The sequence below is a fragment of the Homo sapiens genome, chromosome 10, assembly GCF_000001405.40.
Source record: "Homo sapiens chromosome 10, GRCh38.p14 Primary Assembly".
Classification (NCBI taxonomy): Eukaryota; Metazoa; Chordata; class Mammalia; order Primates; family Hominidae; genus Homo; species Homo sapiens.
The window spans coordinates 54,857,660-54,882,479 of record NC_000010.11 but is presented as its reverse complement, the minus strand read 5'-3'; the positions used below and the strand labels follow the sequence as shown (position 1 = coordinate 54,882,479).

Sequence of the window (24,820 nt, the reverse complement as noted above, 5' to 3'; positions counted from 1 at the left end):
AATATAATTAGGTTTTGCATCTGTTTTTAAATAAGGAGTTTTCAAAATCCCTTTCTGGCTCCTTGAAAACAGTAAGAATAAAACTGTGGGGAAGTAGACATTTTCCGACTTTATGAGACTATGGGGGAAAATCCTTTAAAAAGTGGCTCCTTTAATATTACTTTAAAAGGTAACAATGGGAAACTCTAACAGGCTATATGAAGCAAACTTTATTTTAGCTCAAAGATGAAAACAATTGCTTACTGTATCTATTCACAACACTGGAAATGTGATATTCTTAAAAGTCCATTTCTTAAATATATTACTAATAACAGATGAGATTCTTCTCTTTTCTTATTATTTTTAAGCTATTGTTTCATGCTAAAATAAAATACTATCATATGAATTCGGTATTAAATAATGCAGATGTAGGCATTCATCAAATGAACAGTCTTAGGAACCAGGCACTCTTCTGGACTCTGACAATATAGATGGGAACAAAACAGAAAAGAAATTTGCCCTCATGGCACTTATATTTAGGCAATACTGATATTTTCAAATATATATTACTACTGCGCTGTATATAATATTTAAACTTTAAATGGGAATATTCCTGCCCATTACTTCAAAACACTTTTGAGAAAACACTTATAAACAAAAATATATTTTTAATACTTAAAACTTTGGCTTTAAGACAGAGATATGTGAAAAAGCCCCACCAGTCTATTGACTATGATTTCAATTTATTATCTAATTCAATGTAATCTTTAAAAATTGAGGTAGAGCCTAATCCGCTTATGATATTGAATAGATACCAGGTACACTGTTTTTTGAGGTAGACAGTATCATCTATAACTACGGATGATTCACAGTGTTAATTGTGATGTCCCACTTAGCAAATTAACTTTGAAGTCTTTGCATCAGGAATCCAAATTTAGGAGGCAACATATAGAAGAGCAAAAAACAAAAGGTCTTTTTGTTAAATCATGAGTGAGGAACTTCATGCTATTTCTACACCCTAATATGTGCAAAGCTCTCAAATTATTAATTAAAAAAAGAAAAGCACAGACTAAACTATTTACCCAATGTTCACAGCTTGGAACTCAAATAGAAAATGAACTAAATATCGCTTCTGAAAAACTCTATAGAGACCTTGTTCATATGCCTTAAAGCAGAGAAGAGGCAAAAGCATTTCCTTACATTCATTCTTTCAGAGGGGAGAATAGGTCTGCCTGTCACTCCTCTTTAATTCCTACTGGCCCCGCTGAGTAATTCCTCAAAGCGCCCCTGCTATGAAGCTGCCGAACTATGTTCTCCTTTTACCCTGGAGAAAAACCAAAAGTATCAAAGCCATATGAAACCATCACAGATCATAGAGACCTTACTTCCTCATTTTGTAAGTGCCCTTTAAAAGTCAGAAAAGATGCTGGAAGTCAATGCTGAGCTTAAATTCAAGCCTTCCTATGTATATCCATCTGAAATCTCCGAGGAAATTTTATCTCAGATGTAAAATATTATTGGAGAGAACCTACAGGAGTATTCTTTTGTTCCTTTAGATACAACTCGCTTAAAGTATTGATGGCATAATGTAATTTGTTTGGCATCAACAGGAAGTCAATCAAATGTTACATATACAAGTTTTAAAAAATCCTATGCTTTATCCCATTAAAGACTGAGAATTTTCCTTTATATATGCCACTTAACATACATATTTCTAGAATCTAGTATGCACTTCTCTCATTCCTTATGTGGAAATGTATAATTTAATATATTTTCTTTTGATTTAGGTCCATCATTACAAATTTTGATTATTGTATCCAATTTTAATCTGTGAGATAAGAAGTCAGTTTTCATTCCAACTAAAAATATATTATTTTGAACAAGTTTTTTTTTAACCTTAGTGAAAATTAAAGTTTGTTCCTTCTTTCCTACACTTTACTGCTTTTCTTACTACTTTGGTTAGAACCAACTTTAGGGTTTTAAACAAAGTGGCAATAGTAAGCATTTTGCTTTTCTCAATTGTTAGAAGAATGCTTCTAAATTTCTCCATCAGGAATGGTATTTGCTGTAGTTTTCTGGCAGGCACATTTAATTAGACCACCTAATTTAACTGATCTGCTTATAGGAATGGAGTGGGGAGGCATCAAAATTGCTTAAAAACTCCTCTGAAAAATCTTTTATGCAGACAGATTTGTGAATCATCATGTTAGAGCCATAAGGGCTGTAGAAGTTAAAGCTGGCTCTCATCTCCATAGGAGTTTTGATTAGCAAGTTAGCGACTTTAACTCTGAGACTTAAGGAAGCCAAGGAAATCGTAGTTCAGGGAAATATTCACAGTGCACATTTTATTTTAGCTGTAGTTGATGATGATAATGATGGGTGTAGTATGCAAGGTATTTCATAAGGGATCTGGGTGTAAAAATATTGAATCAGGATTTTAATTTGTTCTAAACATACATAGATCTACTTCACACATTTAACTTTAGTGAGGTAGTGATCACAGTGTAGATAGGGAAGAACTGAAACTTTAGCCGAATCTCTAATTTTTTTTCTTTTACTTTTAATGAGATTTGAAGCTAATATGGAAAAATGTTAACATTAAGGAATCATGATGATCACAGTTATCTGCAAACTTTTCTCCAAGACATTATAATATTCACTACTAACATTCTATAGCTATAAAATTAAGATCAATATGTTAATATTTGTTAATGGATTTATAGAAATATATGTTAGTTTTCATGTTGGTTATATATAATAATGTAGGAATGTGAATTTCATTATGAACTATATCTTATACTAAAATATTAATATATTTAATATACATTAAATATTTTACCTTAAGAAAATAAACCAATATTCAGTTTTAGGGCTTTTAAGAAAGATTTTTATTATCATTTTATATTAAGAATGCCTGCTTCTCTACTCCAATAACATCATTTTATTACAATAAATGTGTTATTATTGTCTGATTTCAAGTTTATTGAATAATGAATGTCTTTAAGAACCAGATAGCTCTTAGTTTGAATAAAATCTTTCTAATTTCTAAGTATCATTTAAAAAGTCAGTTAAACTGGGTAAGCTTCAGCTCCCTCATGTGTAAGCTTGAGTTAGTAATATTTACCAGAAACTTTTGTAAAAATATGTTTGAGATATTACAAGTAAAATGCCTAGAGCATACATAAAATATACATTGAGAAAATGATGAATTATTACTACTATCTCTAAGGAATGCCAACATTATACCTAAATAAAGACTAAACACACACACATACAAGCACACACACACATACAAGCACACACACACACACACACACAAACAGCACGTGGTCTGCTCTTTACGTTGTATTCTAACATACGTAAAGTTGTTTAAACTAGCTACATTTGAATCTAAAGTTTTCAATCACAAACCCACTTATTGCAATTGTCAAATGTTAACATTTTTTAATTTTACTTTTCATAATCATCATTTGGTGTTTTGATGCTAGGATGTAGTTTTATAATCAAAGCAGTATTTATATTAATTCCAAATAAAATAATAATTCGGCGAAGCATTATAAATAAATAATTTCAACCAAACACTGCATGATCTCACATATAAGTGAGAGCTGAACTATGAGACACATAGACACTTGGAGGGGAACAATACACACTGGTGCCTGCTGAGTGGGGTAGGGGGAGGGAGAGCATCAAGGAGAATATCTAATGGATGCTGGGCTTAATACCTGGGTGATGGGTTAATCTGTGCAGCATACCACCATGGCACACATTTACCTATGTAACAAACCTGCACATCCTGCACATGTGTCCCAGAACTTAAAAATTAAAGAAAAAATATAAATAAATACATAATTTCATCTATGCTCACAGCATGGCTATGATGTAAGTGCCATTATCATATCCATTTTAGAGAAGAATACAAAAAAAAAGAGAAAGTTTGAATATTTTCATAACTGTGGTTTCAAAGTCTCGAAGATCTCTTGAATCTCCTCAAAGTCGAAACAATGGAATGAGGCTTCTAGGGTAAATAGAAATGGAGGACAGTTCTAGGCTGATTAACTCGTATACACTCTGGCTGTCTTCTTGTGGAATATCTGCATATTTGTATTTGTAAATAACAACAGGAAAAAGTACTATGTACACATGACAAGGAAACAAAGTATTTCTAGATAGTAAACACATTGTAAATAATTTTCCCTAAAGTTGCTTGATTGCTAGATCTTTAAGAGAGAACTTCTGGCGGGGTGCAGTGGCTCATGCCTGTAATCCCAGCACTTTGGGAGGGCGAGGCAGGTGGATCACCTGAGGTCAGGAGTTTGAGACCAGCCTGGACAACATGGCGAAACCCCGTCTCTACTAAAAACACAAAAATTAGCTAGTCATGATGGCACATGCCTGTAATCCCAGCTACGAGGGGGACTGAGGAAGGAGGATGGCTTCAACCTGGGAGGCAGAGGTTGCAGTGAGCCGAGATCATGCCACTGCACTCCAGCCTAGGCAACAGAGCGAGACTCCACTTCAACAAAAAAAAAAAAAAAAAAAAAAAAAAAAAAAAAAAAAAAGAGAGAGAGAGAGAAAGAGAATAAGAGAATTTCTAAATCTTATTTCATTGTTTTATCTCTCACAGAACAAATAAATGCTGTCAATATGCTCTGCTTCTTATATAATGCTTAGAAAATTGTTAGTATAATTCACAGGAAACTATTAATATTGAATGCCATTGAGGAAGGGCTGGTAATGGAAGGGATATAAACTATATAAACTGTTTTGGCTATTGGGCAAAATACAGATGCCCTCTTCAATACTTCTCTCCCAAACTAAGTGATTGAATTTTTAAAATATTTATATTTTACTCAAACTAGTTTGTATGTGCATATATGCTCATATAATTAATAAGTACTAATATGTTATTTGTTTCTTTTAGATATTCACTCTTTAATAGTGCAAGACATTGTATTATTGAAAATTTCAATGATACATTTACCTCAGGGAAATAATTCATCAGAGAGGTTTTCTTTAGCAAGTAAATTGGTTAAAAATAACATGCATCATATCCATGGTCCAATACCACAGAACTTGTATTTTTCATTTGTATTGTGAAAATTAGATAATTGTCATTTTATTCTGTAGGTAGCTATTTTCATTAGGTGGTAAAATATTTGGGGGAAAAAGTATACTGTGAAGATATTGTGTGTAGGGTTCCAGACCAAATAAAGTCAATATTGCAATAAAGAGGTTACGCACAATTTTCCCCAGTGCATATAAAAATTATGCTTATACTAAAATTTAGTCTATTAACTGTGTCACAACATATATCTAGAAAGCTTCTTTAATTTAGAAAATACCTTATAGTTAAAAATGTTAATGATCATCTGAGACTTCAGCGATTTGTAATCTTTTTGTCATTGGAAGGTATTACCTTGATGTTGATGGCTGCCCACTGATGAGTGTAGTTGCTAAAAGCTGGGGTGACTGTGGTAATTTCATATATTCAAGGGAAAATAAAGTTTCCTGCATTGATTGATTCTTCCTTTCAAAAAATATTTCTTGGTAGCATGCAATGCTGTTTGATAGCATTTTAACCAAAACAGGACTTCTTTCAAAATTAGTCAATCCTCTCAAACTCTGCTATTGCTTTATCAACTAAATACATGTAATATTCTCAATCCTTTCTTATAATTTTAAAGATGTTCACAGCACCTTCACCAAGAGTATTTTCCATCTCAGGAAACTACTTTCTTTGTTCATCCATTAGAAGCAACTCGTCATCTGTTCAAGTTTTATATAAGATGGCAGCAATTAAGTCACCTCTTCGAGCTCTGCTTCTAATTCTAGTTCCCTTGCTATTTCTACCACATCTGCAGTTACTTCCTCCATTGACGTTTTGAACTGTTCAATGTCATTCATGAAGTTGGAATCAAGTTCTTCCTAATTCCAGTTGGTGTTGACATTTTGACCTCTTCCCATAAATCATGAATGTTCTTAATGGCATCTAGAATGGTGATTCCAGAAGGTTTTCAACGTACTTTGCCCGGATTCCTTGTAAGAATCACTATCTATGGCAGCTATGGTCTGATAAAATGTATTTTTTAGTAATAAATCTTGAACACCGACATTACTCCTTGATTTATGGGCTGCAGAATGGATATTGCATTGGCATTCATGAAAATAACATTTCCTTCTTTGTACATCCACATCAGAGGTCTTGAGTTACTAGGAACATTGTGAGTAAGCAGGAATATTAAAAATTTTTTTTTCTGTGAAGTAGATCTCAATAGTGGGCTGAAAGTATTCAGTAAACCATGCTGTGGAAGGATGTGTTGTCATCCAGGCTTCATTGTTATGTTTATAGAGCACAGGCAGAGTAGATTTAACCAGTTTTTAAGGGCCCTAGGATTTTCTGAATGGTAAGTGAACACTGGCTTCAACTTAAAGTCACAAGCTATATTAGCTTCTAACAAGGGAGTTAGCCTATTTTTTGAAGGTTTGAAGTCAAGCATTGACTTCTCCTCTTATCTATAAGTCCTAGATGATAATTTCTTTCAATGGAAGGTTCTTTCATCTACATTGAAAATTTGTTTAGTGTATCTACCTTCATCAATTATCTTAGCTAGATTTTTCTGGATAACCTGCTGCAGCTCCACATCAGCACTTGCTGCTTCACCTTGCACTTTCATGTTATGAACATGGTTTCTTTCTTTAAGCCGCAAGAACTAACCCCTACTAGCTTCAACCTTTTCTTCTGCAGCTTCCTTACCTCTTTCAGTTTTTATGGAATTGAAGAGAATTAGGGCTTTTATTCTGGATGAGGCTTTGACTTAAAGGAATGTTGCACCTGGTTTGATCTTCCATCCAGATCTTTCAAACTTCTTCCATATCAGCAATATGACTGTTTCACTTTCTTATAATTTATGTGTTTACTAGAGTAACACTTTGAATTTCCTTTAAGAACTTCTTTAGTATTTACAGGTTAGCTAACTATTTGACACAAGAGACCTAGATTTTGTCCTATTTTGTCTTTAAATATGTATTCTTCACTAAGCTTAGTTATTTCTAGGTTTGAAATTAAAGTGAGATACTTGAATGCTTGGGGGTCACTGTAAGGTAATTAACTGGCCCAGTCTCAATATTATTATGTCTCAGTAAATGGGGAAGAAGAGAGAAGGAGGAACAGCCAGTCCCTGGAGCAGTGAGAACATACACAATATTTATCAATTAAGTTTACTGTCTTATATGGATATGGTTTGCGATGCCCCCAAAACAATTACAATAGTAACATCAAAGATCAGTGATCACAGATAACCATAACACATGTAATCACAATGATCAAAGTTTGAAATATTGTGAGAACTACCACAGTGTGACACAATGACATGAAATGAGCACGTGCTGTTCGAAAAATAGCACTGATAGAGTTGCTCACACGGGGTTGCCACAAACCTTCAATTTGTAAAAAATGAAAATCTGTGAACCACAATAAAATGAAGCGTGCTTGTATATAGGCTGTAAACCAGCCTTTTAATCAATTTGCTATTTGCAAATCTAACTACAATATAAAATCAAGCATATATCTGGGAATTTCTAAGCCTCCTCCAATAAACAATGAGATTTCTCATGGCTGTGATTTCATTAGGACAATAAAACATGTATCATATGAATAAATTAAAGTGTAAAACATTACTTGATAAGGGGCTAGGGTTGTAAATGATTTGTTTAAGTAATAAAAATACATTTAAAATTTAAGATGATCATGATTTCTATTATATAATGATTTTATCTCCTAAAATAATTTACTTGGCATTCTATATCTTCTATAAAATTTTCAGTAACATTTTCTTTTTTTAGTGTTTTTTTCTCAAGTCATTTTATTTAAAGAAAACTGTTAACTCTGATGGTAGTTTCTTTCGCTGTGCAGAAGCTCTTTAGTTTAATTAGACCCCATTTGTCAATTTTGGCTTTTGTTGCCATTGCTTTTGGTGTTTTAGACATGAAGTCCTTGCCCACGCCTATGTCCTGAATGGTAATGCCTAGGTATAAATCATGCTGCTATAAAGACACATGCACACGTATGTTTATTGCAGCATTATTCACAATAGCAAAGACTTGGAACCAACCCAAATGTCCAACAATGATAGACTGGATTAAGAAAATGTGGCACATATACACCATGGAATACTATGCAGCCATAAAAAATGATGAGTTCATGCCCTTTGTAGGGACATGGATGAAATTGGAAATCATCATTCTCAGTAAACTATCGCAAGAACAAAAAACCAAACACCGCATATTCTCACTCATAGGTGGGAATTGAACAATGAGAACACATGGACACAGGAAGGGGAACATCACACTCTGGGGACTGTTGTGGGGTTGGGGGAGGGGGGAGGTATAGCATTGGGAGATATACCTAATGCTAGATGACGAGTTAGTGGGTGCAGCGCACCAGTATGGCACATGTATACATATGTAACTAACCTGCACATTGTGCACATGTACCCTAAAACTTAAAGTATAATAATAATAATAAATAAATAAATAAATAAAAGAAAAAAAAGAAAACTGAAAGTAATGGTATTTTAATTTATTCATTACTATACAGTTTCAAAATCTATTTATTGCCTGAAATGAACAGATGACCACTCAGCTAATAGGCAGAATGCCCACTTGATTAAATTATTATTTTTCTTATATCAGTAGAGCCAACATATATATATACACACACACACAACACACACACACACGTATATGTATACACATACATACATATATACATACACATATATTATATATATATATATATATATAAAATACAGCAGTTTCTTCAGATTTTTTATCACAAAACTATCACCTCAAGGTAATTTGGAGAGAACATACGGGAAGATTACACACCTTGTAGAAGCAACTAGAGCCAACATATATATATATACACACACACACATACGTATATGTATACACATACATATATCTATACATACACGTATATACATTATATATATACATACACGTATATATATTATATATATATAAAATACAGCAGTTTCTTTAGATTTTTTATCACAAAACTATCAGCTCAAGGTAATTTGCGGAGGACATATGGGAAGATTATCCACTTTGTAGAAGCTACTTAACCCAATCACATTTAGTCCTTTTAACAATTTACCCAACTATATTTCACAAGGTAATCCTTATTTAGGTAGACTTCATCGATTGGTTTTCCCCATTATAAGCTGACAAATACTGTGACCTTGTTAGGGATAATATACCTATACCATAATTTTAGACACTACTAAAATGTCTGAAGTGAGAACCTACGATATATAAAAAACATATCCCCTTTTTAGAAAGTGTATCAATTCATTTCAGAGTTTGCAGCACTTATAACACCAAAAAGGTCAAATTTACTATTTGTTTGAGACATAACTGCCCAGAAAATTGGTGTAACTTATGGAATTCGTCACCTGTAGAAAATTGTTTCGTTTTTTTTCCTGGATGGTTGGTAGCTTTTACAATTTGTAGAGGGGTCTTAGAACATTTTCAAAGTGACAAGTATGTCCTTTGAGACCTTGGTTTGGTGCCTCAACACTGTGACCTCTGCTTGCCTAGGAATGAATGGTAAATTGTTTCTCTTTCATGCAGTTTTTTTGAAATGAGATGTCAAAGATTATGTTTTATAGACTGTATTTCTTTGGTACATCTGGCCTATCAGAGATTGATTACTTGCTCCTGCGATTGTTCTTTAATCCTGATAGCTACAGACACTTCGTGGCTCCCAGTGACAAAAATCTCATAATCTAAGTATATCGAGCATGATGCAAGGCTGTTGATGAGGAAATCATGGTTTGTACCCTCTTTACCATAAAGCCAAAAATGATGACCATTAAAGGTTTTCAGGAAGTTATTTGTAGTAAAATAATCAATGATGAGTCAAAGCATCACTATCGGTCAGAAATAATCCTGAGCAAATATATGGAGAGGTATTGAAAGATAATCTTTCACTATGCCAAAACATTCCATATAAAAATGTATCAGTATTCCTAAATAATTTATTATTTGGTAGGTTTATTATTTTAAGTAGATATATATTGGCTTAAAGTACATGAAATACATACCTAGGTTTTATTTGAAAATTTTGCTTTTGACCTTTATTTTCAGAATGTTTCTATGCAGCTATTCAGCTCTAGTATTTTCTGAGATAAATTAAATAGGTGACTAGGTCTCTTTTTCATTTATAACTAAAAGAAATAAATGAACACCTCAGGCATTCACTTTTTTGCCATATGAAGCAAACATTTATAATTTATCTTTTTTCTCCTTATTTATTAAAAATAATAAATACATATATACATATTTCAGGTGAAGAGTAAAGTTATGTGAAAAGAGCAACTTCTAAAATAGATAAAGGACTTAAAGACACTTTATTTCAAACCTTCTTAAATATAACCACTTGTTTTTATTATATTTCACTGGATTGAGTTTACTAGGGCTCAGATTTTTAATAGTTATGCCTGACACACAGCTGCTCCACACCTTGTTTAATCTTATTTATGGGGACAAAATAAATTATCATCTCATCCTTTTTATCTGGAAAGTATTACACTCACAGTAGTTTATTTATAATTAACTTACGTTCTATAGAGATCCTCTCAGGGAAAAATATTCATGGATGTATGTGAGTTGGAGTAGAATGTATTGGGGTAGTTTGTAATCATGATAGGCTTAACTGTTTAATCTTTCTAAGGATGACAATATTTAGTAAAAATTATGAACAAAAATAATTTATGAGCCTGGGTCCCACTGATTAGTGTAATGTTGATTTTTTATTAAAAATCAACCTAACCTAATAGATTGATTAATAATCAATCTATTAAAAATAAACCTAAACATATGTATCTAAACCTAAACATATGGAATATGACTTTTGTATGGAATTTTCCCATTTGTGAACTTTACTCTTTTAGAGATGTAGTCTCAGGCAGACTAGAGTTCTATTAAAATTTATCATATTCTCCATAAGATTCCATTCTTTTTGGGATGTTAAGCTGGTAACGTGAGTTACAGTGTTTTTTTTTTTTCCTCTCAGACTTCGTCTGTACTAGACCACATTTTTTTTTCAAGTAGCTTATTTCTGAGACTTGGAATACATAATATATGAGAACCTCATTATCTACAGTCTCATATATATACAAATATTCTGTGACACATCTTGGGGTTGTCTTGTCTGAGAGTTCCAGAGTATTCAGAAATAGCAGTTTTTTCCTTATTGTCAGGCAGAGACCTTGGTCATATAGCCTTTGATAAATCTGTTCAGATCAAGTAGTGGTTCTCAATCTTGTCTGCACATTAGATTTAATTCAGGAATCCCTATGCTCTGTGAATGCAACCAAAAATTACAATGTAGTTGGTGACAGATGTGGATTTTTAAAGTTCCACACAGAATTCTAATGCAGCACTGGTTGAGAGTCATCCTTAAAATAGCACTTCAGAAGCTAGAGCAGATCCTGAGATTGCCCGGGGGCTATAAGTAAAAACCTGAGTTCAAAGGGCTTATTTTCAAAATTATACTTTAGCTAAGTTACTACGTAGATAACAGTTTGAGGGGCTTTTCTTTTTGTCCTTACATCCTAGTTGAGTGGATAGGAGATACCAGCGAGAGAATGGGATGTTAGATATTTTTCCGTGGATTTTTTTTTTATTTTTTTATTTTTTTATTTTTTTGAGAGGGAGTCTCTCTCTGTCGCCCAGGCTAGAGTGCAGTGGTGCGATCTCGGCTCACTGCAAGCTCCGCCTCCCGGGTTCACGCCATTCTTCTGCCTCAGCCTCCGGAGTAGCTGGGACTACAGGCGCCCGCCACCACGCCCGGCTAATTTTTTTGTATTTTTAGTAGAGACGGGTTTTCACCGTGTTAGCCAGGATGGGCTCGATCTCCTGACCTCGTGATCCGCCCACCTCGGCCTCCTGAAGTGCTAGGATTACAGGCGTGAGCCACCGCGCCCGGTCTTTTTATGTGGAATTTTGATCCAAGTACTTGCAAACTAACTCAGTGACTTTAGGTGTTTATATTCTCAAATAAGTATCAAGAACACTAAAACAAAACTATCAGACTCTTGCTGCTCCCTATTTATATGGCCAGTGTTTCTCAAAATGTAACTCCCAGGCCACCTGCAACAGCATTACATGAGGGACCTGTTAAAATCTCAGATTTCTCACCCAATAAATCATAATCTCATGAGCATGGTAGCTGAATAATCTTCCTTTAATACAAAATTTCCAATTGATTACTAGGCATGTTAACAACTACTTGTGTCAGCCAGAGCTCTGATGGTCACTGAAGAGCTCTTTCTGATTTTCCTTAGATCTTCTTGCCTGTTTGACAACTTAATGGAAATCAACTATTTGCAAGACAGTGTGCTCATGAAATAGACAAACAGGTCAGGAAAATATAAGTCTCTTGACTTCATTGGTGGCGAGTTACTGCACAGGGGAAAAACAGTTTAAAAAGTTGTTTTTCACTTACCTTCCAAGCCCATTCATAAGTGATATTTTATGTCAGTTCCAATTTTCAAGCGGATGGAGTATTGCTAGGGAATTGTAGACATCTAGGCATTGCTGGCTGTTGGCTTGACCCCATGTGAAAATGTGTCAGTATTTAAAGCAGTGTGCTTATGTGAGATGTGCTAGTGGTTCTGTGAAGGGGGAGAAAGATCAAATGCTTGTTTTATAAGTGTCACCTTGAACTTTGGGATCACTCTTGTAGAGTCATTATCTTTTGAATACATATATAGAGCTCTTATAATATGCCAGGCACTGTGACATTTATTTATGTCCATTATCTTATTTCTTCTTGCTAAAATCATATGAAGAAAATACAATTCTTATTCTCATTTTACATGAGGAAATTAAGATTTGAATTGGATAAACAACTTGCTCCAAGAGAAAGTACTAAGTGGTGGTTCTGAGATATAAGCCTACTTTTTAAATTTCAGAGTGTTAACCCCTATTCTCTACATACACTGTGTACTCTTTAATATATAATGACTCACAATACTTATTATTATTAACAAATATTACTTTTCCAGGGCTGCTGTAATGACCAAGTAGCTTTAAACTACAGAAATTTATTCCCTTATTTATCTGGAGGCTAGAAGTTTGAAATCATAATGTTGGCAAAGCTGTGCTGAACTCTGAAGCCTCTAGGATAAGGTCCTTCTTAGTTTCTTCCAGATACTTGTGGTATGGTAGCTATCTTTGGCATTCTTTGGCTTGTAGCTGCATAACTCCAATCCCTGCCTTCTTTGTCACATGGCATTCCCCTGTGTCTCTGTGTCAAATTTTCCCTCTTATTATAAGAACCTCAGTCATTGGTGTGGTTTCACATGAATCCACTATTCAACTCAGTAGAGCATTCATAAATGCCTTGTGGAAACTCTGAAGCCACCCAACAACACACTTTGAGGTTATCTTGGTGAGTGGGCTTTCATTTCTTCGATTCACCCTTAGCTTCAATTTAATGTTTCCACTAAAATATTACTATTTTATTCCATGCTATGGCTTCTGTGATTTGTGTAACCTTTTGGAGAGGAAGGGAGTTGGGAACACTCACCATACATTAGCATGTTTGTCTTCTTTTGTATCTTATATGTCCACCAAGACAACAGACTTCTGCATGGCAGACTTTTGCTAATGATCATGATTAGTAGTACAGATAATAACATTGATTGCTACATAGCTGTTTCCAAAATCTAAGTTTAAGTTCTTTCTACTAATCTATATTGACTCTGTGATACACTGATGGTGATCAAAATATAAAGAACAGTTTTGCTGAGTAGAGGTTTGGAGAAGAGTGGCATGTTTGCTGTACAAAGAAGAGAAGTAGCCTGATTTGAAATTTTGAATGGTGAACAGAGAGATGGTGTGGTAAAAATGGGATGAAAATGGGATTAAAGGTGGTCAAAGATGTGGAATGTGATCTGATGAAGCACCTAGAGTTTTAACTTTCTCAGGAGTGAAAAGGTCACAGGCCATCTGTAGGAGAGGATAGCTGTGAGGGTGAGGGAGGAGGAAGAGAAGAAGGAAGCCATTCAAGGAATGTGGAATGAGGTAATTTCTCCAAACATGCTACTTACTCAACAAAAAGTAGTCTAGGTGTCTTAGAGAAGGTGCTTATGCGTAGTCATCAACAACTGATGTCTGCAGATAGACCACAGATGCCATATAGACAGGTATAATTCAAAAGCATACAATAGAATAATCTACATCTATAATTTGGGATACATGAGCTTTGTGGAACATGGATGAAGACAGCCATTTGCGGTGTGTGTCATACTATTTTTTGTTTGTTTCAATTTCACTTTATTAATATTTGCTATAACCGTTTCCCCCTCAGCTTTATTAAGATATAATTGACAAATAAAATTTGTATATACTTACATTGTATAACTTGATGTTTTTATATAAGTGTACATTGTGAAATAATTAAGACAAGCTAATTAACACACATATCACCTCATATACATATTTTTGTATGTGTGGTGAGAACATTAAAGGTCTATTTTTCTTAGCAATTTTCAGGTATACAAGAATTATTATTAATTATAGTTAGTCACTATGCTGTGCAGTAGATCTTCAGTTACCTGTCTAACTCAAACTTTGGAACCTCCATCACACTGCTGAGCTAGAGGACAAAGTATTGGACTAGGTATTTGTATATAGATATTGGAGGGCCAACTTCAGAAATAAACTCGATGTTTTGGTACCTTGTTTTTCAGTCTAGTATGTTTGGTCAAGAAGGAGTAGAAAGAGTGAATTAATTGCAATATTGTAATATATAAAAATATCTGGCATAATATTATTAAAGACCATGACATTTATCCTTATTAGTTAGAGGGTATGTGCAAGAACCCATATCTTCTTGAAAATAAAAGATTTGAAGTTAAATTCTAACTCCCCTTGCCACGTCCTATGTATATATGTGCAATGTCATTGTAAAAAATAATGAGTGTCTCTATTAGATAATGTCAAATAAGAATGATGTTGATAATGTCAAGATAATGTAAAATAATGTGAAATATAGAACAGAAAAATGTGAAATGCCTAGAATTAGGATGCATTTATTGCAACAATTTTTACCCAGTAAACATCAAATAGCAATTTGATTCAATGGTTTAAAGAAAGCCAAAAGTAAATAATCACCAACAGAACAACAAACATAGGGTCCACTAGTATTTGGAGAGATCACAGTTCAAACTTTCCAGGTGCTGAATCCCAATGCACAACACTATACCACGGAAGCTCTGAAAGCACACTGTTTATTCTCATTCCCAAACCACACTGCAATCAAAATTAGCTGCCTGATATTCCCCCAGCCCAGTCTTCTGCCTATTGTAGTAATACCAAGGAAATATTGGTGGGTAGCCGCAGTTGTTATTTGATGCTATGTTATATCCCACAATTCATTTTTGATAAGCAGAAAGTCTAAACTTTAAACATCTCACAATTACTTAAATAAGTGTTTATTTTCATCTTTCCCCAAAGAAAAAGCAAAATGACACTGTGTTCATTTCTCATCAAACAAGAAATATTCCTAAGAGACCTTTTCCTTGTTCAGTGCAAGCTCTAATAAAATTTGACAGCAAAGAATGTTTTTCTCTGTGTAAATATTTGACAGTAAGTAGATATCTGTTACAGATGCCAAGTTGTTAATTTCATACCACCAACCTACTGTCTATCTTTGCATTTTTTATTCTATTTAGAGGTTAAAGGGATGTAACATAACTTTTCTGTCTTATAAGGAAAGAGAAAAACTGCTTATACATCTGGATGCCATTCAGTGTTCTTCATTCAAATAATTTTAAAAAGAAAAGAAATTAATAACTATTAAATAAAAATTCTGGATTTTGACAAAATTGAGAACTCATGAGACATTTTAATCCTAGGATGAGTATTCTGAAAGTATTCCTGTATCATTGATAATTAGAAAACAATTGCTATCTTTGATTTTTTACTTCATTCTTGTGCTAACAACAAGGTGCTTATAGCCGTTCTAAAGAATTGTCTGCAAACATGACAAAATCCAAGGAAAAAGAGACATCTTGTCTTTCCCACCACTCTCTGTCTGTTCCAGATGCCTACAGTAGACTTCTCACAAATCATTCTCCAAAAATGGGCCATATTTACAATCCTGAACTGTTCATTAGCAAAAGGGTTAGACTTTTAATAGTTGGCATAAATTAAATTTACTGTGGTAACAATGGGTGTTAGGATGAAAAAAAGCAATACCTTCAATAATAACATTCCTTTGAATTAAAGTTCTAATTTAACGCATGAACTAAACTATTCAAAACTATTCCTGGAACATCATCAGTACTGAGTGCATAGCTGAAGTAGACTATGATCACTCAAACATTTTTCCAGGTCTAATTCCATGTTTTATTGACTTACTTTTTTAAAGAAAAGTTTCTCATCTATCAAAGTCCTCACAAAAATCTTGATCATATTCACTTTGTACTACTCTAGTTTCTAATTCACTGTCTTCCAATTTCAAACCTTGTTTCATTAGAGATATATATTATTGTTCTGCCCAAATTCTTTATCCTTGATCACTGAAGTATACATGAGATTATTCCTAATTGATTATTTCAGAATAACTCTGAATTTTCTTCTCCCCTTAAGCTAAGTTCTCCAAACATTACATCATTAGATTGACTTTACTTTGTGTTCTGTTTTTTTTTCTAATTTAACATTTATTGTTCTCTCATATGCTATCCACATTAACATGTTATTTTCCTTTGTCTAGCTTTGATTTTTGTCTTAGTCTAAATGATCACATTGTGATATGGTTTGGCTCTGCACCGCATCCAAATTTCATCTTGAATTGTAATCCCCACCTGTTGAGGAAGTGATCTGGTGGCAGGTGATTGGATCCCGGGGGTGGTTTTCCCCATGCTGTTCTGCTGATAGTGAGGGAGTTTATTAAGAATACTTAACTCATATGATTAAAAAGCAAAGTCTCACAATAGGCCATCTGCAAGCTGAGGAGCAAGGAAGCTAGTAGTGGCTCAGTCTGAGTTCCAAATCCTCAAAAGTACAAAAGCTGTCAGCACAGCCTTCAGTGTGTGGTCAAAGTCTTGAGCGTCCCCCACAAGCCACTGATGTAAGTCCAAGACTCCAAAGACCAGAGAGTCTGATGTTAAAGTGTAACCAGCATCCAGCACAAGAGAAAGATGACAGCCAGAAGACTCAGCAAGCCAGCTTATCACACCTTCTTCTGCCTGCTTTGTTCTAGCCACACTGGCAGCTGATTGGATGGTGCCTACCCAGAGTGAGGCTAGGTCTTCCTCTCCCACTTTACTGACTCAAGTGTTAATCTCCTATGGCAACACCCTCGCAGACATACCCAGAAACAATACTTTACCAGCTATCTAGGTATCCTTCAATCCAATCAAGTTGATACATAATATTAACCATCACACATTCAGAGATATTTAATAATGTCTATCATGAAACACAGCCTCTATGATGGCTGCCTATGATCTCTATGTTCTGGTATTCACATCCTTCTTTAATTACCTCTCTTTGGATATGAGCTAAACTTATTGAATTGATTCTAAAAAAATGTATTTGAAATAATGGGGTGTTCCTTCTGATATTTGTTTATAAAAGAACCGTGGCATATGTTTTGGTCTCTGTCTCTCTTGCTTTTTCTCAGATTGCTCTAGGGGAAGCCAGCTGGCATGGGAAGTAGTGCAGTGGAGAAATGCACATGGCCAGAGACTAAGACCAATCATTTGAATGAGTTTGGAAGCATCCTACCCACCACTGCCACCAGTCAAGTCTTCAGATGAGACTGCAGCCATAGCCAACAGCTTGACTGCAACCTCCCAAAAACCTTGATGCAGATTCACACAACATTGGACTTCTGACCCATAGACAATATTATATAATAAATGTTTGTCTTTGCCACTAAGTTTCAGGATAATTTGTTATATAACAATAAACCGTACATCTATCCTTGATATAAGTTTCCCTGTATTTTTCTGTAGCATCTCCATATTTTAGCCCATTTATTTTATTTTGCTTTATTGAAAATAAAGCATACCATATTATGGTATTCAACAATCTTATATATGACTTTTTTATGAATATAATTTATGAAACATAATGAAAAAAGAGGTCAACCAATTTAGACTTTTTCTCTTAATTGTCTCTTCTCTACTTTATCCTGCTTTCCACTTCACGCTCTTTGCTGTCACCTATATCTGCTCTTATTATTATGGTCACTGATTCTGTGGAATATCAGGCTTTTCTTTCTGATGTGTTTACACCATATATGCCAAAGATGTCAAGTGTATGAAAATATCACAGATAAGCCATTTATATATGGCCAAATATCCTCTGTTATATTAAGAAATTTATAAAACCTTCATTTTTTAGATTTTCTGGGAGCTACCAACTCCTTTGAAAATTTATCTGTAGATTTGCACTGATCTACATGGCATGATGGATTTTTAAAGGGACTTTTTCAAGAAGAGCTTTAAATATGATCAGTTATTTAACAGAATAAGTCCAATTAGGCAAGTATTCAAACATTACTGCTACATTTTTGATATAATTAAACTTACTATAGCTAAGGAATTATCACTTGAAACTTAGTTACATCCTGCAATCCAGTCTCCCTAAACAACTTCACTGCTTTCCTTATGACTGGCGGTTCCACTGGAGGTTTAATATCAACTTTAACCCTGACTCTGACATAGCCCATCAAAAATAATGAAGTTTGACAAATAAAGCTTTAAATTTTCCTTTTCTTCTCCCACAGTATTTGCATTTCCAACACTTGGATCATTTCTAAACATAAACAGCAGCTATTATCTCTTCTGGCTCTTATTTTACAATTAAGAAAAATTAATGGCTTACTTGCAAGTTTTGTAGAACAACATTCAGTCAAATATATATATTATTTTGAGACGGAGTCTCGCTCTGGCACCCAGGCTGGAGCGCAGTGGCACGATCTCGGCTCGCTGCAAGCTCCGCCTCCTGGGTTCACGCCATTCTCCTGCCTCAGCCTCCCGAGTAGATGGGACTACAGGGACCCGCCACCATGCCCGGCTAATTTTTTGTATTTTTAGTAGAGACGGGGTTTCACCTTGTTAGCCAGGATGGTCTCGATCTCCTGACCTTGTGATCTGCCCGCCTTGGTCTCCCAAAGTGCTGGGATTACAGGCGTGAGCCACCGTGCCCTGCCTCAGTCAAATATATTTTTATAGAATAAATCTTAAAAATTAGAGCCCTCTTTCAAAGCTAGCTGTTAATCATTTATAGGAAAATGCTACCATCGTAAAATTAATCATAGAACATCATTATAACTTAAACTATCTATAAAAGGTTAAAACAGGATAACACATTTAATGAAAAATACAGCTTAAGCATAGTTTGAGGAACATTGATGATAATAATATGGGATGTTAGAAAATAAATAAAGTGGTATACTTTAGGTGTTTCTACTACAATATGTTTATAGTTACTATAATAGATAAAATTTTATTTGTATCCTTTCAAAAATGGCTGATGTCTCTGTTAATTTTGTGTTACTATAACATAATATCTGAGGCTGCATAATGTATAAAGAAAAGAGGTTTATTTGGTTCATAATTCAGATGGCTGGAAAGTTCAAGACTGGGCAACTCCATCTGGCGATGGCCTCATACTGCTTCAGCTCCTATCAGAAAGTGAAAGGACAGTGAGCATGTCCCACTGGCACATATGATGAGAGAGAAAGCAAGAAAGAGAAACCAATGAAGCCAGGCTGTTTTAAATGACCTACTTTTAAGGGAACTAATTCATTCCTGAAAGAGTCAGAATCTACTCAACCCCTTGGGAGGGCCTGAATCTATTCATGAGGGACCAGACACCAGGACGAAAACAGCTCCCACTAGACCCTACCTCCCAACAATGCTGCGTTGGGGATCAAATTTTAACCTGAGTTTTGGGAGGGACAAGCCGCATATAAGCTGTAGCAGCTAACTATGATCAAATGGGCATAAAAACTATTCACACCTTCTCAGCTAAAATAAAATTGTTTTCCCACAAATCCTCTCCTCCTCTATATTGACAAATAATTTTAATGAACATGAGGTTTTATATTGTTGTACTTTATATGTTATTTTCAGACTTTTACCAACATATGCTCTAAACTTTCAAATTATTTTAATTTTTTACAATTTCATCTACATGAGAAAAAGTAAATGAGTCAAATGTTTCCTAGAAACATTTATGGTAAAGAGATTGCATTTTTACTGAATTTGTCTGTAATTATCTGTGTGCATTGTTTAAATCTTATATTCCTACAAAAAGGTATGCATTGTATATAGATGTATTACTATGATGTATATAGACATATAACTATGATGTAATTATTATTCATATTCCATCTCTGAAGATTCTTTAGAAGTTATTATATATTTAGTTCTTTTTGAACAAATTGAGTCCAAAACTACTTGAAATTTATATAACTTAACATCATTGTAGCCAGTCTTGTCAAGGATACTCCTAAAGTTAACTGAAGGTGTATTTACCTAGCAGCTCTATGCACTTCCCTGAAAGATGCACACTAAAATGTCATTTCCTGAGAGAAGCAACTACAAAGAGTATTTGTTTATGTATTTTTAAAGTTGTGATAGATGTAGGAGTCTTTTGGAGGAATCTTTAGGGTTTTTATGTATAAAATCATATAATCAGTGAACAGAAATAATTTAACTTACTCTTTTCAAATTTGGATGTCTTTTATTTCTTTCTCTTGCCTGAATGCTCTGGCTTGCACTTCCAGTGCAATGTTCAATAGGAATGGTAAAAGTGGGAATCTTTGTGTTGTTCAGTTCTTTGAGGGAATACTTTAAACTTTTCTCCATTCTCTATGATGTTGGTTGTGGATTTGTCATATATGGCCTTTATTATTATGAAGTATGTTCCTTTGATGCCTGATATGGCTGTGAATCCATCTGGTCCTGTGTCTTTTTTCTTAGGAAATCTTTTGTTACAGATTTAATTTTACTACTCACTATTGGTCTGTTCAGGATTTCTATTTCTTCCCGGTTCAAACTTGGGAGGTTGTATCTTTCCAGGAATTTATTTATTTCCTCTAGGTATTCTAGTTTGTCCATGTGCCATACTCATAGTAGTGCCTGATGATCTTTTATGTTTCTGGGGATCAGATGTAATGTTACTTTTATCATTTCTGATTGTGCTTATTTGAATCTTCTTTTTTTCTTGGTTAATCTAGCTAGCAGTCTATCAATGCATCTGCCTTTACTTTGATTCTGTAGATATGTTACTCCAGAAGACCAGGAGATGGACATTACAAGGGAGACTGAATTTCAAAATCTTTAAAGGAGAATGATAGTATAAGGACAGTTATTTTCATGATTTCATTTCTCTAGATTAAAGAGAAGAGAAACAGAGTTCTCAATGAGTATTATAAAATAAATGAATCAGATTGGTTAATACTAAATTAAATTATTGGGACAGAGCACTTAAATTAAAACATACCATTAAAAAGAAGATTCCCTATTGTGCTTAATAAATAAATTCTGTAAGAAAAATAGTAGGAGAAATTGCCTTAATGATCGCCTAGGACACTCAGTTACCTCTAAGCTTCATCCAAACAGTGTTTTCAATCTGCCCACAAATAACCAATATATTAGACAAAGTTGGTAACATCCACTTCAAATTTTCAGTAGAGTTTGTGTGAATAAAAATTAGTTCAGCCATTGTGGAAAGCAGTTTGAAGATTTCTCAAAGAACCTAAAACAGAACTACCACATGACCCAGACATTCCATTACTGGGTATACACCCCAAGAAAAATAAATTGTTCTACCAAAAATATATGCAATCATATGTTCATCATAGCGCTGTTTGCAATAGCAAAGATATTGAAGCAATCCAGGTGCCCATCAGAGGTGGATTGGAAAAAGAAAATGTTGTACATCTATACCATGGAATACTATGCAGCCATAAAAAAAGAATGAAAGCATGTGCTTTGCAGTAACATGGATGGAGCTGGAGGCCATTGTCATAAGCTAACGAATGCAGGAACAGAAAATAAATACTTCATGTCCTTACTTATAAGTCTGAGCTAAGCATTGGGTATACCACATGAACATAAAGATGGGAACAATAGACACTGGGGACAACTAGAGTGGGAGGAGGGGGAAGGGGCAAGGGCTGAAAAACTACCTACTGTGTATTATGCTCACTACCTGGGTGATAGAATCAGTTGTACCACAATCCTCAGCAATGCACAATACACCCATGAAACAAATCTGCACATGTACCCTGAATCTAAAATAAAAGTTGCATTTTTAAAAAACTCAGTAGAACAAGGAAAGAAAAGAATAATTTTAAACACACCCCCACACACATGCATACAAACATGTAGATATATATTATTCCAAACTATGAAAGAAACAAACCATTTTTGCTTAGCACTGACCAGATCATAGCTGGAGTTGCATGGTAAGTCTGAGTTGTCATAGTTTATTACATGCATTCATTAATGGGAATAGATGCTTAAGAGTATGAGCAGTTTAGAAAAAAGGTTGGAGAATTACATTATTTGGAACAGAAAAAAATCCTGAGATCTTTACATGAAAAGGAGATATACAAGTAGCACTACGACTTTATATTACAGATTATTAAGTAATTTGTTCAGGTTCACATAATCAATAAATGTACCATAATCAGCATAGCAAATTTATTGATTATGTGAACCTGAAACAAATTAGTTAACCTTTCTGAGGTTTCAAATTACTTAACCTTTCTTTGTAAAACAGATACACTTATATCAAAAGTACATGGAGAACACTGCTGTTGATCAATAAATGTTGGTTTCTCTATATTTGACTGAACAAATGAAACTGCCTGACAGAACTAGAAAAAGCTCGGGGAAGGAGATGAGCTATAAAGCAGTACTCTGGAGTTAGGCAATTATTTTTTAGTTATGTTCATGTACAAAATGAGATGAATTTTAACTAAAAAGTTTTATAGGAAAAAGACAAATGTTTGAAGAAGAGTTTTCAGAAAGAAAACGAAGTCCTATAAGAAGTAATTTACACTCTGTTTCTACGGACAAGCATACACAGGGAGTGAGAGGGAAAAAGAAGATATAAAAATTGTGGGTGAGAAGGACAAATATGAAAGGATTTTGCTCATTGTAATGGAAATGAACTATTACTAGTTAGATTTGGGATTTATGAATATTAATTTGAGAGAAAGTAAGACATATAAATGAGAGTTATTAAAGTGTCTTTACAAACGGAATCAGCTTCATATTTCTTCTCACACAAGAAAAATGTGAAGGCAAGGGAGAGCCATAAAAAGCAAATGTGGTGATATGAATTCAGTTGAGACATAGCTAGAAGAAGATAATACAAAGAGCACTTTACCCTGAGGAATAATGATACACTACTAACCTGGGCCATGCTGATTTAACTACCATATTAATATCACAGGATACATAAAGCTATGTGTATATGTCTCCTTTAAACCTAGGAGCAAAATTCTATAAAAAGGAATTATATCATTGTGGCCCTATCATTTTCTTTTCTTATTCAGTGTATATAAAATTCTTCAGTAGTTATTGTTTTCAAATAAGCTACTCTAATCTGAAATTAAAATACATGGAATAATGTCATGCCATTCACCACACAGACGTTACCCATTATAAATTATATAGTTATGCATGCATATGTATATATAATTATTTTATCAAAATATTTATAAAACAAACCTAGGTAGGATAAAATTATTATTACTTAAATATAGATAACTATATAGTTTATTAAAAGCTATCAATGTGAAGATTATATATGCATCTGGTGGTTACATAATGTTGCCATCCTGGTAGCATTCTGACTAACAAAGAAGCACTCCCATGCAATATGGGAGGAGGAATTCTACAGAACACCAAAATTTAAACTTTAAAAATATACTGGAGCTAAGACATGTGATTGCGATTCACTGAACATCACCATTATCAGGGCCTAATCCCAGATTTGCAAATTAGGGCACTATATGAAGGGACAGATAATGGATTTAAAATAGTTTCCTAACAGCTATACAAACAAGGAGTAGCAACCATGTTCATTGCAGCACCTTTCACAATAGCAGCGACGTGGAATCAACTGAAGTGTCTATCAATGAATGAATCAACAAAGATATCGTAGTATGTATACACAACGGAATATTATGTAGCCTTCAAAAAGAAGGAAATTGTCATTTACAAAAAAATGAATGAACCTGGAGGTCTTTATTCTTAGTGAAACAAGCTAGGCACAGAAAGGCAAATAATGAATGAGCACATCTATACTTTGAATTTGAAAATACTTTAATTCCTGGAACTAGAGAGTAGAATTGTGCTTATGGGAGATGCTAGTCAGAAGGTATAAGGTTTCAATTAGACAGGACATACACGTTTTCAAGATCTATTGCACAGGCAACATAACCCTAGTTAGTAATAATGCGTTGTACATTTCGAAATTGCTGAGAATGAATTTCAAATGTCTCACAACATAAAATATATGTTAATTAGCTTATGTAATCATTCCACAGTGTAAACATGTATCAAAACATTGTATTGTAACCCATACATTTATATAATTTTTATTTGTGAATTAAAAATGTAAAAATGAATAAGGAATAGCAAGCATGCACTAAGAGTGAAATAATTATTGTTGAAATTCAACTTTAAAAGTTATTCAGTCAGGCACATTGGCTCTTGCCTGTAATCCCAGCAGTTTGGGAGGCTAAGGTGGGAGAATTGCTTGATGCCAGAAGTTTGCAACTATCCTG

At 34.1% G+C, this 24,820-nt stretch overlaps 1 protein-coding gene across 1 annotated transcript in view; it reads left to right on the top strand.

Moving 5' to 3' along the window:
• PCDH15 (protocadherin related 15) overlaps positions 1–24,820 on the top strand; it is a 1,825,172-nt gene that overhangs the window by 745,463 nt on the left and 1,054,889 nt on the right. The window lies entirely within an intron of this gene.